We start from the raw sequence: 17,539 nt of genomic DNA, 5'->3' as shown, positions 1-17,539 counted from the left end.
ATCTTCATTATCACCACTACTTGCAGCCCAGCTGCCATCATCACTGGCCTGGAACACTGCAATTGTCTCCTAACTTACCTCCCAGCATCTACTCAGCCCTCTTCAAATGCAGTCAGAGGGATCATCTTAAAATGCAGAATGGATCATGTTATCCCTCTGTCTATAAATGCTTTTAAAGTCTTCATTTGGCTTTCAGGACAAATTCAAAACTCTTTTACAAGACCTATAAAGCCATGCATGATCTGGCCCCCCCCCCCCCACTTCTTTATCTGCTCGTTACTTCACAGGGTCTTTGCACATGCAGTGTGTTCCCTCTCCTCTCCTTGTAACTCTTGATCATCTTCCAGATCTCACCTTCAGCATCACTTTTTCAAGGAAGCTTTCATTAACCACAGCACATCTATTACAATGTCTCCAGATCATATATCTCTCCTTCCAGCACTTGGCACATTTGCAATTTAATATTAATATTTCTTGGAGGTCTTTTGTCTCCCTACTAGCCTCTGCTCCATGAGGGGAGGGACTGTTTCTGTTTTTGTTCACCATTTATTTCCAGGTCCTGGTAAAGTGCCTGTTCATGGGCAACAAATAAATATTTGTGTAATGAGTGGGCAAATGAGAGTTTCAAAAAAGCTCTAAGCAACATTAATGTCATCAGAATAAGAGTATGGTCTTCCGTGGTGATTTCCTTGAAAGATGAGACAGTAATGACTGGCATGTAGAAATTCTGACTTGGTGATTGCTTTTAAACCTATCACATTACTTTATCATTAGTCCTGACTAACAAGACCACTGCAATATAGGAGGCACTGTATGGTGGTAGACTAATGGGTGGGCTGAGTTTGAGTCCTGGCCATGCCATTTATAAGCTGTATAATTGTGAGACACTACTTAGATTCAGTTTCTTGATCTTTAAAGTAGGAAGATTAGTCCCTGTCTTACATGGTAGGTGTGAGGATAAAATAGATAATGTCTGTAACACATTTAGCAGTTAGGGCCTCTTAGAGTTTGAGAGAGCTGCAGGCTACTTCTTAGAGGATCCCACAATTTAAAATGTGACAACAGGATTTACATATTTATAGATTTTTACAGTTGTTCACTGGGGAAACAACATGAGACAATATAAAAGCAATAATAAAATAATTACCAGATTTTTTCGTAAGTGCGATTCTTAGTGGACCATAATTTAAAGTGTTATATGTCTTTCAGTTTTGTGGATGTATTTGCAGTATCTCATTTGGCCATGTCACAAGTTTAAATGTAAGTCACAAGTTTAAATGTAAAGCTCTGTGATTGTGAGACCTCCTGAGCACCTCCAGGATGGGCCCTGAGCACAGTGTTAATAGCTAATGTTTATCAGCTCATTTTTGGTTTCAAACAGTTTTCAAAGAATCGATAAGTACACTTTGCTGCTAAGGCCTCAACTATGTTCTCTTGGCTGCTTTTTGCTGGGGGAATGGCAGGGACAAGGTCTCACTCTGTCACTCAGGCTGAGTGCAGTGGCACGCTCATAGGTCACTGCAGCCTTGAACTCCTGAACTCAAGCAGTCCTCCCACATCAGCCTCACGATTAGCTGGGACCACAGGCACATGCCACCATGCCTGACTTTTTTTTTTTTTTTTTTTTTTTGAGACAGAGTCTCACTGTCACCCAGGCTGGAGTGCAGTGGCCCAGTCTCGGCTCAGTGCAACCTCCGCCTCCCGAGTTCAAGCAATTCTCCTGCCTCAGTCTCCTGAGTAGCTGGGACTACAGACACCTGCCACCATGCCCAGCTAATTTTTGTATTTTTAGTAGAGAGAGGGTTTCACCATGTTGGCCAGGCTGGTCTTGAACTCCTGACCTCAAGTGATCTGCCTGCCTTAGCCTCCCAAAGTCCTGGGATTACAGCGTGAGCCACCGTGCCTGGCTTTTTTTTTTTTTTTTTTCAAGAGACAGGGTCTTGCTATGTTGTCCAGACTGGTCTCAAACTCCTGGGGTCAGGCAAACCTCCCACTTCAGCCTCCCAAACTGCTGGAATTACAGGCATGAGCTACTGTGCCCAACCTCCTGGTTGGTTGCTTGCTTGCTTGCTTTTTTCCTCAACTCCTAAGTGCTTGGAAACTCTTGGTTGGTTTTTGTTGTTTTTGTTTTTTGAGATGGATTCTTGCTCTGTTGCCCAGGCTGGAGTGCAGTGGCACGATCTTGGCTCACTGCAACCTCCACCTCCCAGGTTCAAGCAGTTCTCCTGCCTCTGCCTCCTGAGTAGCTGGGATTACAGGCATGTGCCACCATGCCCAGCTAATTTTTGTATGTTGTGGTGTTTTTTGACACAGTCTTGCTCTGTTGCCCAGCTCTTGGTTGCTTTAAAAAATACAAAATTAGCTGGGCGTGGTGACGGGCGCCTGTAATCCCAGCTACTCGGGAGGCTGAGGCAGGAGAATCGCTTGAACCCGGGAGGCAGAGGTTGCAGTGAGCCAAGATCATGCCACTACACTCCAGCCTGGGTGACAGAGCAAAACTCCATCTCAAAAAAAGAAAAGTACAAACCACTTGAATAACATCTCTGAAAATTAGGGCATCTGGCATGTATAATCTCATGCTCTTCTAGTAACCATCAAGACATGATGTCCTGGCCCTAGCTAGCTATGGCATCCCATGAGCCTACTTTAAAGCACAGTTTACAAAGAAACTTCACCTGTGGTTGCCTCATACACAGACCATTTCCTTTGACTCTAAAGGAGTTTGAAAACTCTCAAAATATCAAAATATTTTAATTGATCTTAGACTGACTTAGAAACGGTTATTTACATACATTTAGAATTATAAATTGCAAAGAGAAATTTCCCAAAACCAAAATACTCACAAAATATTATTAAACATTCAAGCAAAAATGTTTTTAACCCAATTAAATTTCTCAGCTCAGTGGCCTGCTGATATAATATTGATTACTGGCTAAAAACTACATTTGCAGAAACTTTTAGAAATGTCTTTCATGGCCACATAGTATGTACTGAGCAATTGTGGAGTGAAGCACTGTACTAGGAGTTATCTAGAAGAATTCATTTAAATAGAAATTACATTGGAACATTTGTGAAAGACATTTAATAATCCACAAAACTTGCACAGGAAGTACAATAACAAGTGCTAAGGGTAATGGAGTGATCGAAGTAACAGGTGCAAAATCAGGATTACTTAGAGAAAATTTCAGACTTCAGAAGGCAGGTGGGGAGTCCTCGAGTGTTTTGAAAGCAAAAGGTATGAATTTGGTTCAAAACTGAAAGGAGTGACTTTAAGACCAAAGCATATATTGTGGATAGTTGACCTTCAGATTTGCATAGCTGTCCTGCAGGCTAAGGATGATATCAGTTATCTGGGAGGGTAACTGAAAGCTTTTTATAATTTGGTAGCAACTGGAGGCTACCACAGAACCATAGAGTAATTTTTTTTTTTTTTTTTTTTTTTTTTGAGAGCCTCCCTCTGTCTCCCAGGCTGAAGTGCAGTGGCACGATCTTAGATCACTGCAACCTCCACCTCCCAGGCTCAAGTGATTCTCCTGCCTCAGCCTCCTGAGTAGCTGGGACTACAGGCTCCCGTCACCGTGCCCAGCTAAGTTTTATATTTTTAGCAGAGATGGGGTTTCGCCATATTGGCCAGGCTGGTCTTGAACTCCTGACTTCAGGTGATCCACCCACTCGGCCTCCCAAAGTGCTGAGATTGCAGGAGTGAGCCACTGCACCTGGCCCACAGAGGGTAATTTTTTTTAAGTAGTTGAGAAGCTAGAGGCAAGGGGGCTGTCGAAATAATCTGCATGCAGAGTCATTGGAGCTATGATTGAACGTGAAGATGACAGGCCCAATTTTAAAAAGTAATAAACCTAGGATGAGGGTTGAAGAGACGGGGTAGAGTGACTTTAAGATTATAAGCCTTGGAGGGACCAGGAGAAAATGGCAGCTGTCAAACACAAGGGGAAACTGAGTCAAGCTGAGGCATTCTTGTGAAGAAAATAATGAGTTCTGAACAACCAGTCCAAAAACTAAAAACAGGCCTGGCAAGAAGGCATAGGGATGCAGACCAATGGAATGTGCAGGCTTGGAGAGAACACAGGTAAAAACGAATGCGGGAACTCTGGGGTGGGAGTGTGGGCTTAAAACGTCATTGACAAAGTGGCGGGGTACCTTCAAATGTGAGAGGTGCTGTCAAAACCATCATCAAGGTTAACAAGGACATGTCCTTAGCATGGAAGTCAGAAAGGACAGTATGCTGATGTGTCTCTCCCAGGCTGTCAGTCATGGCTCCTCAGAGCTTATCCCGAATTCTCCCAGAATCCTCAAAAGTTACCAAAGGCAGAAAAGATGTGTTCCTCCCATGAGTCCAGCTTTGAACCAATGTCTTCAGAGAGAGGGGAACAGGTTTCAAAATTCTGACCTTGGGAGCTAGAGTCAGAGATGCCCCCTCCAACCCCGTTTGGTTCGGGCAGGCAGTTCACATCTACCTCAAGAGGCAGCTGGGGCTTCAGACATTTCGTTTCAGTTCCAGGAGCACAGTGGTTGAGGATAATCTCCGGCCTAGCCAAAGGTTGGAAGGATTTCCCACTCTGACGCCGAGACTTGGCACGCCTGTTCTGGAACCATACCTGGAAGAGGGGAGAAAATAAAAGCTGCTTTTGGTTGGAGTTTTTTATGCTAACATTATGTTCACAGTTCATACTGGTAAGTTCCAGTTTAACATCCCCTGGCTTCCTCTCCAGAGCCTTGTCTTCAGAAAGCACTTGGGTTGACGATTAGAAGTTCAGAACACCTGGCTTTCCTTGCCTCCCCATTCCCAGATGGAAACATTGGAATAATGCCTAGTTCTATCTACTCTTTAGTTAGAGAAATTTTCATGAAAAATGGGGTCACAAAAATGGAAGCACTTAGAATTCTTAGAAAAAAACTGCATTAAATTATGAAGAAAACCTGTTTTTTAAGGTCTGCACTCCCTTGTCAAACTAATCAAGGAGGTATTTTGCTCATGCCAGCTGTTGAGACTGACAGCTGTATGACCGCCAGGGGTGCAGAGAAAACAAGTCCACTCTCCCAGTGTTTAAATGAGGGCTGCTACTTAAAACTGCGCTTGGACACCGACCACGGGGCTACAGACAGACAAAAAGGCAGGCTTCTCCTTACCAACTCTAAGATTCTGATCTAAATTACTTTAGATAATAAACACGGCCGGGCGCGGTGGCTCACGCCTGTAATCCCAGCACTTTGAGGCGGGTGGATCACCTGAGGTCAGGAGTTCGAAACCAGCCTGACCAACATGGTAAAACCCCGTCTCTACTAAAAATACAAAAATTAGCTGGGCGTGGTGGCTGGCGCCTGTAATCTCAGCTACTCGGGAGGCTGAGGCAGGAGAATCACTTGAACCTGGGAGGCGGAGGTTGCAGTGAGCCCAGATCGCGCCATTGCACTCCAGCCTGGGCAACAAGAGTTAAAACTCCATCTCAAATAAAAACTAAATAAATAAAAATAAACACACCTTGCACTAGATTTTTCAAACTGAAAACAAGCTCCAGGTGCTTCTCGCTTTATCTCAATTCGCTACATCCTTTCAAATCTAATCCCAAAACGTAACACTTGCCAAGAAAGTAGCATGGGGGTAACTTGGCGAGCCAGCCTTCCCCGTTTTCAGCTACCATTCTCACGCTCAAAGCCAGAGGAAAACCCCAACTGCCCCTCATCTGTGTCTTCTTCCCGGATAAAGAAAAAGTGTAAAACTTCTTATCTTCCTGCTGGGAATTACTTTCTGGCCATTTCAGGGGACCGGCTAGCCTCCTAGGAGCCCTTATTATATTTAATAATGAGAGAAATCGTTCAGTGCAGGCCTAAATTATTTCACACAGGCCTCGCAACCACCCTATGCAGCAGGTGCCGATATCACCCCCTATTTCAGTCTAGTACGCAGAGCCTCAGGGGAAGCACCGTGCCTGCAACGTCCCGGGTGTGGCCTCAGGAGCCCGCAGTCCAGACCTAGAGTCCGCAGCGCCTCCGCTCCAGCGCGCACTTGCGAACGCAGCGGGCCCTCACCTGGATCCTGGACTCGGGGAGCAGGGTGAGCGCGGCCAGGCGCTCGCGCAAGTGGATGTCGGGGTACCGGGTCCGGCGGAAGACGAGCTCCAGCAGCTGCAGCTGTTCGGCGCTGAAAGACGTGCGCTTGCGGCGCTGCGACGCCGACGGGGCGGCCGCGCCTTTGGGGGGCGCAGGCGAGCCCAGGCTGGCGGGGGGCGGCGGGGCCGGCCCGGGGTCCCGGCCGAGGAAGCCCGCAAAGGTCGCTGGGCCGGGGCCCGCGGGCGGCGCAGGGAGCAGGGCTGCCGCAGGGCTCGGGGGCGGCAGGAGCGCCCCGCCGGCGTGGGGGGCCCGGTACGCTGGAAACGCGGCGCCCTCGGCAAACTGGAGCGCACGGGACTCGGCTGTGGCCATCGCTCCGGAACCCAGCGCGCCGCTCGGAGGGGCGCGGGCCGCACTTATACCCTCCCGGGCCAGGGGCTGGGAAGGCGGGGCGGTGCGATCAAAGGTGGGCTCGGGGAGACCCGTGTCTCCTCCGGGTGCGAGCCCGCCCCCGGCCCCGCCAGACGCCGGGGAATAATCGCTTCCGCCGGCTGCGGGATGCAGGAGGGAGGCGTGAACTTGGGTCCCGGCCCCCTCCGTGTTCTTCCCCGCCCACCCGCCCGGACGGCGCAATCCACATCCCCGAAGGACTATTTGCCTGGGAGGGGCAGCCCGGAGGGGCCCGGGTGCGCGGGCCGCAGGCGACAGAACTCTCTTCTCCGGGTCAAATCCCCGTTAAGAGCGGCGGAAGCACCTTGCCTGGCCTGTGCCTTACATGGCCTGGGCCTTGAGCCTTGCCCTAGTCCCGTCTGTCCTCATCAAAGCTATTTATTTACCACCCCTGCTATGTGCTAGACCCTGTACCAGGTTGGTCAAACAGCCCGGCCCCTGTCTTCTGCAAGCCTCCCTAACACATCCTGAATCCAAGCGGGGAGGGGGGTGAAGATAAAGGATCCAGGGGGCAGCACATTCCTCCTGATTAAATGGGTGGGGGGAGTGGGGGGGTCTGGCTGGAATGTCCATGGGCCCACCAATAAAGATACCCTAGGTAGGGCGGGGTTGGCAACGTGCCCCATTAGCAGAGGATACGGCGCAGTTTGGCCTTTCTGGAGATACTCAACAATGCTTAAGACCCGTCTATTGGATGGGAGGAGATGAAAGCCACCTCATGAAGTTTCCACGCGCCCTGAATCATCATTCTTTCCTCTGCCCCTTGGGGCTCTGAAAGCTCCCATTTTCTCTACTTTGTGCTATGGTTATGGTTTCTCTATCTGCTAGATATAAAGTCTTAGCAAGCAGGAACCCACCTCTCCCTTTCTGAGTTTATTGAGTGTCTGCTTTGTACACCTATTCTGCGTGAGGCGCGGTGCTAGGCCCCTTAGTGAATGTCTGTCGAATTGGATGTCACTGAGCTCTCCTTATTGAAAGAGAAACCCATGGTCCACTATGGGAACTGCCCCACCACAGTGCAAGAACTCAAGAGAGGAACACAGAGGCCCAGGTCTTTTTGCCCCCAGCACCTGAGCGCTGATTTCACCGGGATCACTCACTGTGGTCGACTCAAAGGGAGATCTTTATTGGGAGGATCTTTCAGGGCACAATCCCCGTCCTGTCTCTGCATTCTAGAAGGTCAAAAGACAGTCTCAGAAGAGCTTGGATCTTTTTATCCTGGGTGGACATTCCAGGTGGCAAAGCGGAAAGTTTTCTTGGAGCTGCTGCAGAGAAGAATTTTGGGCTTGATTCTCTCCTGGCTGTGGTAAGGGGTGGGGTTGGCAGGGACTGTGTCCTGTGTAGCCCCTGAGGCCCTTCTGGGCAGCTGATATACTTACCTCCTGCTCTTCCATCTTCCTTCCACCCCTTCTCCTTTCTTTCCCCCTCTTCTCTTGGTTGCAGTGAGCCAAGATTGTGCCATTGCACTCCAGCCTGGGCAACAAGAGTGAAACTCTGACTCAGAAAAAAAAAAAAAAGTTAATTCCCCAGCATCTCCAAAACAGCCAACATCCATTGGCCAGGTGCAGTGGCTCATGCCTGTAATCCCAGCACTTTGGGAGGCTGAGGCGGGCGGATCACCAGGTCAGGAGATCGAGACTATCCTGGCTAACACGGTGAAACCCCGTCTCTACTAAAAATACAAAAAAAAAAATTAGCCGAGCATGGTGGTGGGCACCTGTAGTCCCAGCTACTCAGGAGGCTGAGGCAGGAGAATGGCGTGAACCTGGGAGGTGGAGCTTGCAGTGAGCTGAGATCATGCCACTGCACTCCAGCCTGGGTGACAGAGCGAGACTTCGTCTCAAAATAAATAAATAAATAAATAAATAAATAAATAAATAAATAAACAATTATTAGCCGGGCGTGGTGGCACAAGCCTGTAATCCCAGCTACTCAGGAGGCTGAGGCAGGAGAATTGCTTGAACCCGGGAGGCAGAGGTTGCAGTGAGCCAAGATCGCGCCACTGCACTCCAGCCTGGGTGACTGACTGAGACTCCATCTCAAAAAAAAAAAAAAGAAAAGAAAAAGAAAAAAGAAATTACTTCTCCATGCGAGTGGATTTCCCATTTCACTTGGGATTTTCATTGACTAGGGTTGGAAAGATAGAAGTCATATTGAGTTTCTACAAAAGCACTTGAAATTAAAATGATTTGCTACTTCTCTTCTTTGACAGACACTTATAAACATATAAATGGTTTTCACTATATCCAAGTTCTAGATTCCTGACTCAGTTACCCTGCTGCAGGCATACAATGGATATGTATATCACATATCCATTTGCTAATTCTTCTATATTCAGTTTTTCAATAGGAAAATGGGAAGAGCCCTATCCTTGGCAATATAATTTTTAAAATAATTATTGCAAGTTATTTTCCCAAAACAGATACCCTGTGATGTATAAAGCTCCATAAAGTGCTTTTTTTCTACAGAAGCACATCAGCTGACCAGCTCCAGCATAGCAAACTTAAGTTCAGGGTTAGCTGAAGACAGCAATCACTGAGATTAGGATCTGGATTCCTCCCTCTCCAGCACCTGGGCGAGCTCACCACTTGATTTGCTGAGAGATTTTGGCCATTATTTACATTTAGTCTGTCAGTAACTTGAAATAGACACAAGGGAAGGCAAGGTGAAATAGAAGACAATCCTCAAGGATGCTTCCTGTATAATGAGGGAAGACCAGTAAATACAAGAGGCAGTAGGGAAAAAAAAACATGATTATCTGGATCCAGGGCCGGTTCTACAGCAGCCCAGTCTGGGCAGGATGGGGCCACTTGGGGTCACTGTCCCGTTCTGCGTCCTCAACATTTCCCACCACGGTTCCTGTCACTGAATCACCCAAATATCACAGAGGCCTGTCTTTCCTCCCCAAGTGCTAAGTACTCTCTTCCCCGGGCTCTCTTTGTTGTTCAAGTCAGGCCCTCCACTGCCTAAGACCTGGCCGAGATCCTGGGTATTTATTAAAGGGAAAACCAGGAAAAGACAGCCGAGGGGAGTTGACGGCTCTGCTTCCACCTTGAGATCCGCAGCGCTGTTTGCCCCTTTGATCCTGGCCTCACTTTGATTTCCTCTCCTCTGGCTGCCCAGGCCTCCACAATTCCTGAAGTTTATTTCAGAACCAGTGGTTACAACAGACTGAAAGACAACAGCCCCCAAAAGGTATTAATGTGCCAGGAAAGTGATTAAATCCCCTCGTTAAGAAGCCTTGTTTGTTGTTGTGTATTTGGCACCATATACATTCAAAAACTAAGCACACAATAGATGCTGAACCCAACGTGTATTTTAAAATAGTGATTCCTTTTCTTCCTCCCACTATTTTTGCCTGAAGCCTCGTCTCACACAGAGGAGTCTTTTGCAACCCCAATCCACACAGTTAACCAATAAAGTTAAAATAACATTTCAACCTCAGAGAACAGAATCCAGAAGTTTTCCAAACTTATATCTGCATACTTGAAACGAAGAACTGAAACAACTAGCAGAATATTCTCAAACCTGACATTTGACTGATATTCCTTTCTTCAGTGTATGCACTGAGCACTTGAAATGGGGCTACTGTGACTGAAGAACTGAATTTTTCATTTCATTTTAGCAGATTTGAATTTACCCATAGGTGGCTAGTAGCTTCCATATCTATCAGCACAGCCCTAAACCGTCATCCAGCAAATCACCCTTTTTGTTTGTTTGTTTGTTTGTTTTGAGATGAAGTCTCGCTCTGTCACCCAGGCTGGAGTGCAGTGGTGCGATCTCAGCTCACTGCAAGCTCCACCCCCCAGATTCACGCCATTCTCCTGCCTCAGCCTCCTGAGTAGGTGGGACTACAGGCGCCTGCTACCATGCCCAGCTAATTTTTTGTATTTTTAGTAGAGACGGGGTTTCACCGTGTTAGCCAGGATGGTCTCGATCTCCTGACCTCGTGATCCACCCGCCTCGGCCTCCCAAAGTGCTGGGATTACAGGCGTGAGCCACCGCGCCCGGCCAATCACCCTTTTTTGATAATTTTATTTTATTTACTTTTTTCGAGACAGGGTCTTGCTCTGTCACCCAGGCTGGAGTGCAGTGGATCACAGCTCACTGCAGCCTCTACCTCCTCAGGCTCAGGTGATTCTCCCACCTCAGCCTCCCAAATAGCTGGGACTACAAGTGCGCACCACTATGCCCAGCTAATTTTTGTATTTTTTGTAGAGATGAGGGTTTCGCCATGTTGCTCAGACTGGTCTGAAACTTCTGGGTTCAAGCGATCCACCCATCTTAGCCTCCCAAAGTGCTGGGATTACAGGTGTGAGCCACTGTGCCCGGCTCTGATAACCTTTTATGTGTATATACAGAGAGGTATCCAGTTGGTACAAAATAATACACTAGACTTGAATTCTAGACTCTCATTTTTATTGTTTAATCACAACTCTGGATCATCAAAGTTGTTATTTTATTTTATTATTTTATTTTATTGAGACAGAGTCTCACTCTGTTACCCAGGTGGGAATGCAGTGGCATGATCTCAGCTCACTGCAACCTCTGCCTCCCAGGTTCAAGCAATTCTCCTGCCTCAGCCTCCCAAGTAGCTGGGATTACAGACATGTGCTACCCCGCCCAGCTAATTTTTGTATTTTTAGTAGAGATGGGGTTTCACCATGTTGGCCAGGCTGGTCTTGAACTCCTGACCTCTGGTGATCCGCCCATCTCAGCCTCCCAAAGTGCCGGGATTATAGGTGTTAGCCACCGCGCCCAGCCCGTTACTTCATTTTATACCTGACAGACTCCTATAGATTTGGCAAAAAGCGTGTTAAATATTATTGTAATTAGTCGGGTATGGAGGTGCACACGTATAGTCCAGCTACTCAGGAGGCTGAGGTGGGAAGATTGCTTGAGCCCAGGAGGAGTTTGAAGCTGCAGTGAGCTATAATTACACCACTGCACTCCAGCCTGGACACCAGAGCAAGACCCTGTCTTTAAAAAACAAAAACACGTTACTGTAGCATTCGTAAATTATCTTTCTCCAAAAGTGACAATTTGAGGTCACTTGCTGGCTAAAGAATTATGATACTACTAAGGAATAATAATACAAGTTTCTTTAACATTGTCATTTGACTTAAACCTCATTTAATTATTTTCTAACCATACAGTGAAACTCTGCTGTCATTCACTGACTCTGTGGGATATGACATGATATTGAATTCATGTGTATCACATATCTTGCATGAAGTCATACTGGACAAGGACAAGTAAAGAGAGAGGCATTAGGAGAACATAGAATCTGCCAATATTTGTCTTTTCTGCTCCCAAATAATTTATTTTTTTAATTTTTATTTATTTATTTTTTGAGACGGAGTTTTGCTCTTGTCGCCCAGACTCAAGTGCAATGGCACAATCTCGGCTCACTGCAACCTCTACTTCCCAGATTCAGGCAATTCTCCTGCCTCAGCCTCCCAAGTAGCTGGAATTACAGGTGCGCACCACCATGCCCAGCTATTTTTTTGTATTTTTAGTAGAGATGGGGTTTTGCCATGTTGGCCAGGCTGGTCTCAAACACCTGACCTCAAGTGATCTGCCCGCCTCAGCCTCCAGTGTTTTGGGATTACAGGCGTGAGCCACTGCACCCTGCCCCAAATAATTTATTAAAGTGTTAGCAGACACCCAGAGTAACCTAAGATCAATTCTGGACTCTGTCCCAGCCTGCACACATTGGGTGTGTATTTCCCAAACATTTTCTCTTTGGATTGCCTGTAATCGCTGGAAGACATCCTGCAGGTAAAATGCCACTCTGTTATCTAATCAAACACAGGTTCTTGGAGGATCTGGGATATAATAAGACACTTTCAAATAGATCCTCATTCATTTCAGTGTGCACTAGGAAGATGTGGTTTGAAATCAACAGTTCTACTCTCTCAGGCGATTGGGCATTTAGCCTTCATAGTAACCTGAACTTTCTGTACTCATGTAGATGGAAGAGGAAATAACTTTGACCTCTTCTTTTACATTGAACTCACGTGCTCCAAGCACCAACTCGTGTCAGGCCAGGCCCCGAGTTGCAGTACGTAAGAAGAATCTCTTCTGTTTAGCAGCCTGGCTGCTTGGGTGAGTGGCTGGCCTGCACTGAGGAAGTCCATCTGGCTCAGCCGACTCACCCCTCTCGGGAATCTCCCTTAGACCTACACTCAGCTCATTCTCATATATTGCCCCAAATCTGCATTCACTTTGGGTTTATCACTTGTACAAATAGTGCCAAAGAGAGCCGTGTTTATAACGTGGTTGCCCATTGTGCGATCATTGAAAGCCATTAGCACTCAGACTCTCGTCTCTCCATACCATTTCCCACAAGAGAAAAAAACACTCCACTGAGAAATGGCTCATTCTAGGCCTGGGAGAAAAAATACACAAACCTGGGCCAGGTGCAGTGGCTCATGCCTGTAATCCCAGCACTTTGGGAGGCCAAGGCGTGCTGATTGTTTGAGGTCAGGAGTTCGAGACCAGCCTGGCCAACATGGCAAAATCCTGTCTCTACCAAAAATACAATAATTAGCTGGGCATGGTGGCGTGCACCTATAGTCCCAGCTACTTGGGAGGCTAAGGCAGGAGGATCGCTTGAACCCGGGAGGCAGAGGTTACAGTGAGCTGAGATCGCACCACTGCACTCCAGCCTGGGCATCAGAGCGAGAATCTGCCTCAAAAACAATAACAAAAACAAAAAAAAACACCACAGGCCTGGAATAGTCATAGCTGAAAACAAGAAAACTGTAACCGTCTACCAAGGTAGCAAACACTCTCAATAAATAATATGAGGAGGCTCCCACTAGCCAAACATATGAGAGTGTGAGCATCAATAAGAAAAATAACAGCAGTAGACTGAAACACATTAAATGTGTTAAAATCTATTATTTTGTGATGATCCTGGGGAAACAAAACTGATCCCCTTGGAAGGTTCTAGGGAAAAAATGCTTAATTCTGCAAACTGGTAAGCCAAGAGAAGGAGGCAAGCATTTGTCCTGCCTTTTCTGTATTACTGCAACACAAGGTAAACAGACTGCTGACGAAGAAAAGTTCCTCCTTATGGAAGTATTCTGCTAGTAAATAAAGAAGGGATGCTACAGTTAGAATAGCCCCATTTGGCAACCTCTGATCAAATAATGGGCCTAAGCAATGACCTTCGTGGCTACTGATAACTACTTCCCTGTAGAAATACACACTACCACCTATGAATCATTCTTGCCAAAATATAAAACCAGAATCGAATCCAGCATTGGAACTCACTGCCTATTCGAAAGAACTGCAGGGAACAAGAACTCTCCCCACATCGCTACAGGAAGACAATCAACAAAAACCAGACTGCTGCGGGGTCTACAGGATAAACAGCCAGCTGCTTCATCAGATAATCAAAGCAACTGCAAAAGAGAGAGATAGAAAAAGAACCTATAGATTCAAAGAGACCTAAAAGACATATGAACCAAATGCAATGATTGGATCCTGATTGAAGCAAACTATCTGTAAATATTTATTTCTAGGAAAAGTTGGGACATTTTAAGCATTAGATGTGAGATAATGGAATTGTGGTTAATTTTCTTTTAGTTTATATGGTGATTTTGGGGTCATATTTTTAAAAGCCTCCTCGTCTTTTAGAGATATATGCAGAAATTTTGGCAGATGAAATAATAAAATGTCTGGGATTTGCTTCAAAATAATCTAGTTTGAGGCTAAGGGAAGGAGAGGGAAATGGAGAAGAAGCAAGGTTGCCGGCTGGAAACTGGTAACAGTTGAAGCTAGGTCATGAGGATTCATTCTACGACTCTCTCTACTTTTGTGTATATTTGAGATTTTCCAGAATAAAAAGCTTTAAAAAAAAGCATCTTTGAGAGAGGTAGAAGATAGTGAGCATGAGAACAAAAGTACCATTTTGGGAAGGCAAGGTCTTCTGGTCTGAGGTGGCTCTCGCTGTGTGAACCCAGAGGAGACTCGACAGCCCCAGTCCCTCCCTGTGGAGCCAGGGGCTGGAGGAGTGCAGTGCCGGATGTGAGCATGACTTTTCCTCTGGGGAATCCTCCCCAGGGCAGGCTGCACAAGCCACAGCCACCAAGCCCTAGTTCCTACACACCCCACAGAACACCTGGCTGTGCTCAGTGTCTGGGGAATATGGGCTTGGTGGAGAGGTAGGGGCGGGTTTGAGTGTGGGGAGGAGGCTTTCTGGATGAAGGGGGCCAGGGCCGAGCCTGAAAGGAGGCAGGGTTTAGGTAGGTCGTGAGAAGGACCCTGGGAGCAGAGGTGTGAACAAAAGTACAAATGCAGAATGTGCCAGGCCTGCAGAGAGCCAGCACAGCAGGCAGGCTGGGGCCCAGGCTTGGAAGACCGCACTCTACCCCCAGCACAGGCATCAGGCTGTGGGGCATGGACCCTGAGGACCCAGCGGCCCCAGAGGAAGATCTGGGACACACAGACAAGGAAAATCAAGGGGGATGCTTTTCCTTCCACCAACAACCCTTTACCCGGGAGGTCCATCTCTTCTCCCCTGTTGTCCTGTGCAAGTTTCTGGGGCCTCTGGGTTGAGTTCTGGATGTCTCCAGGAATTTTTTCTTATCTGTTAAATTTACTCCAAATGAGGCGCTGGAGGCTATATCAGCACAGGTGGCAAGATGGCCACACAGTGGATCAGCTTACAACTGTTCATTTAGAAGTCTGGGAGAAGGGACTTCCCTAACCACAGCCCCTAACAGTGACCCTCAGTGAGGCATCAGAAACACACCCAGCATCGGGCCACACAGAGGGTGCATCCTTTCTGGTAGCTCTAGCAGGGATGGGGTGCATAGGCCCAGGCCTCATCTTGGGGAAGCAGCTGGGGATAGGGAGCCCACTCTGGAAGGCCACTCCCACCTCCTGCACACTCAGTCCTGGGTTCCTAGGCTGGAGGCACAGACTGGGGCAAGCAGGTACTTGTCTGGGCAGTGCTGAGCCCAGGAGCCCAGCCTGGGAAATTTCCAGTTGGGTAGCCCACTCTTGGTCCACTGCAGCAGGAGAACCTGCTTTAAATTCTCCACATTGCCGGCCGGGCGCGATGGCTCACGCCTGTAATCCCAGCACTTTGGGAGGCCGAGACGGGCGGATCACGAGGTCAGGAGATCGAGATCATCCTGGCTAACACGATGAAACCCTGTCTCTACTAAAAATACAAAAAAAAAAAATTAGGCGGGCATGGTGGCGGACGCCTGTAGTCCCAGCTACTCGGGAGGCTGAGGCAGGAGAATGGTGTGAATGCGGGGGCAGAGCTTGCAGTGAGCCGAGATCGCGCCACTGCACTCCAGCCTGGGCGACAGAGCAAGACTCCGTCTCAAAAAAATAATAAATAAATAAATAAATTAATTAATTAATTATCCACATTGCCTCCTGCAGGCCTAACGGAGGATTTGCCAGGCGCTGCCCAGCTTGGAAGTCCCTGAGTGGCTCTCAGAGGCACCAAAGACAGGCCTTTTATGTATGATTTCATAGATGTGGCCTTTCATCCCTGCACCCCATGGGGTGGAGGATGACCCAGGCGGAGGGAACGGGCTCAATAGGCACCAGGTTGTTGGAATGAGAACAACATGGACCAAATCCAGGGCCTAGCCATCTGGCCCTGCTTTAGGCCATCCTTCCTCACCTCGCATACCCCACTCTCCACTCCCTGTTCCTTCTCTAGCCTAAGACGGTTCCTCCTCCTGCTGCAAGTCCCACCCACCCACCTTGCTGCACAGCTGGTTCAAGTCCTCCTTCCCTTGGAAACCAAGGTTTCTCTGCCCGGAGCTGCCCACATCACAGTGTTTCTGTTAATTATGTGCTGTTCTCTATCACCTTATGCTAGTCCTATTTTTTGTAAAATTTTCTCTTATTATTATATATATAATATATATTATATTAGTGTAATATTTTTATATATTATATGCTAGGCTAGGCTTGGTGGCTCACACCTGTGATCCCACACTTTGGGAGGCTGAGGCAAGAGGATCGCTTGAGTCCAGGAGTTCAAGACCGCCTGAGCAACAAAGGGAGACCCTGTCTCTACAAAGAACAAAGTATTCTATGCTTACTACAGATACATCAAACATAAACCATAAAAAAAAAACCCATAAATAAATCTATCCTGGGGTAGCCATTATCAACCCTTTCAAATAAAGCCTTCTCTGTGTGTGCATATACATATGTAAATTTATGTAAATTTCATGTATAGTTTTTATGTAAACTAATCTTGTTCCCCTAAGCAGAATATAATTTCTTTGAGGGCACAAATATTTGGTATTACTGTGTCTGCTGTACAACTCGGATGCTACAAAATCTGTAATAATCTCTGCCGTGACCAGGGCCAGGCCTGCTCAGTCTGGGGGTGGGAGAGGAACATAATTACATTTACTCCAGGAGGGCCTTGAGAGAGATCTGTCTTGAGCGAGGAACTTTGCGACAGCCTTTGTTTAGACTCAAAGATGTTTTGAAAGCCGCTAAGTCAGAAGATCAGGAACGTGAGCAGGCCTCTGCTTCCTAGAAAGAGAATGAGGCGTGGTGGAGAGCATGGTGTGAGGACAAGCTCGCATCTCTTACTTGGGCCTCCATGAGGCACCCTAAGTCTGAGGGGTGAAGGGGTTGAGCCAGCCAGGGCCTGGGGAAGGAAGGGCTGGTGGAGGCTGTTGGGCGAGCATCCATCTCAGACCCTAAAATTAGTCTCCCTGGTTTAGCCCCACAGCTTTTCCTCGCAGCAGGCGTCCATTCAGGCCTAATACTAAACTGTGGCTGGGTGTCATTCCACAGCCAGGATCCAGACAGGGGCACCCCCTCACACACAGCTCCGTCCAAGTGACTCCCCCTTCCACCCACACAGCCATCAAAGTTCCTGACCTGAGCTAAGTAGATGGCTTGAGGTCTGTCCCACGTGGAAATGTGGGTGAGGACACCCTAAAAGAGCCCATACCCCAAGACCAGGTCAAGGTCTTCTGCAGGGCACCGTCAGCCCTCCCATGTGTACTCTTCATCTCCGTGG

The 17,539-nt window shown here is 47.5% G+C and overlaps 1 protein-coding gene and 1 long non-coding RNA gene across 3 annotated transcripts, besides 3 other annotated features; both read right to left on the bottom strand.

Annotated features, from left to right (window-relative positions):
* Positions 1-3,059: 3,059 nt before the first annotated feature.
* MIXL1 (Mix paired-like homeobox) lies at positions 3,060-6,456 on the bottom strand. 2 transcript variants are annotated; one of them, NM_001282402.2, is made up of 2 exons: positions 6,046-6,456; positions 3,060-4,637 (listed from the first exon to the last, which is right to left on the bottom strand). In NM_001282402.2, exons 1-2 carry the CDS (start codon positions 6,436-6,438, stop codon positions 4,308-4,310), a joined length of 723 nt encoding a protein of 240 aa, NP_001269331.1. In that variant the 5' UTR covers positions 6,439-6,456; the 3' UTR covers positions 3,060-4,307. The 2 variants fall into 2 exon arrangements, with proteins under 2 accessions (NP_001269331.1, NP_114150.1); NM_031944.3 differs by having other exon boundaries at positions 3,060-4,613.
* Positions 5,738-6,032: a silencer, noted in NCBI's record as "tiled region #4175; K562 Repressive DNase matched - State 4:PromP". NCBI's record gives its function as "represses a minimal TATA promoter and a strong SV40 promoter by Sharpr-MPRA in K562 cells {active_cell/tissue: K562}" and the evidence as "EXISTENCE:reporter gene assay evidence [ECO:0000049][PMID:27701403]".
* Positions 6,078-6,137: an enhancer, noted in NCBI's record as "active region_2647". NCBI's record gives its function as "activates an Ori minimal core promoter by ATAC-STARR-seq in GM12878 lymphoblastoid cells {active_cell/tissue: GM12878}" and the evidence as "EXISTENCE:reporter gene assay evidence [ECO:0000049][PMID:35858748]".
* Positions 6,457-7,621: 1,165 nt separating the features above from the next.
* On the bottom strand, positions 7,622-7,981 carry LOC124904528 (uncharacterized). Its single transcript, XR_007066907.1, has 2 exons — positions 7,896-7,981; positions 7,622-7,781 (listed from the first exon to the last, which is right to left on the bottom strand). It is a non-coding gene; the product is annotated as an uncharacterized LOC124904528 (long non-coding RNA).
* Positions 14,202-15,167: an enhancer, noted in NCBI's record as "H3K27ac-H3K4me1 hESC enhancer chr1:226402654-226403619 (GRCh37/hg19 assembly coordinates)". NCBI's record gives its function as "activates a minimal SCP1, AML or CMV promoter by ChIP-STARR-seq in naive H9 embryonic stem cells {active_cell/tissue: H9 hESC(naive)}" and the evidence as "EXISTENCE:reporter gene assay evidence [ECO:0000049][PMID:30033119]".

The sequence above is a fragment of the Homo sapiens genome, chromosome 1 (assembly GCF_000001405.40).
Source record: "Homo sapiens chromosome 1, GRCh38.p14 Primary Assembly".
NCBI classification, from domain to species: Eukaryota; Metazoa; Chordata; class Mammalia; order Primates; family Hominidae; genus Homo; species Homo sapiens.
This window is presented reverse-complemented; position numbering and strand designations above follow the sequence as displayed.

Bases quoted from the DNA above. Each gene is read 5' to 3' on its own strand.
- MIXL1 (NM_001282402.2), bottom strand. From the start codon at position 6,438: ATGGCCACAGCCGAGTCCCGTGCGCTCCAGTTTGCCGAGGGCGCCGCG. The intron at 4,638-6,045 runs GTGAGGGCCCGC...AACCAAAAGCAG, and splicing joins TCCCCGAGTCCAGGATCCAG to CTTTTATTTTCTCCCCTCTT.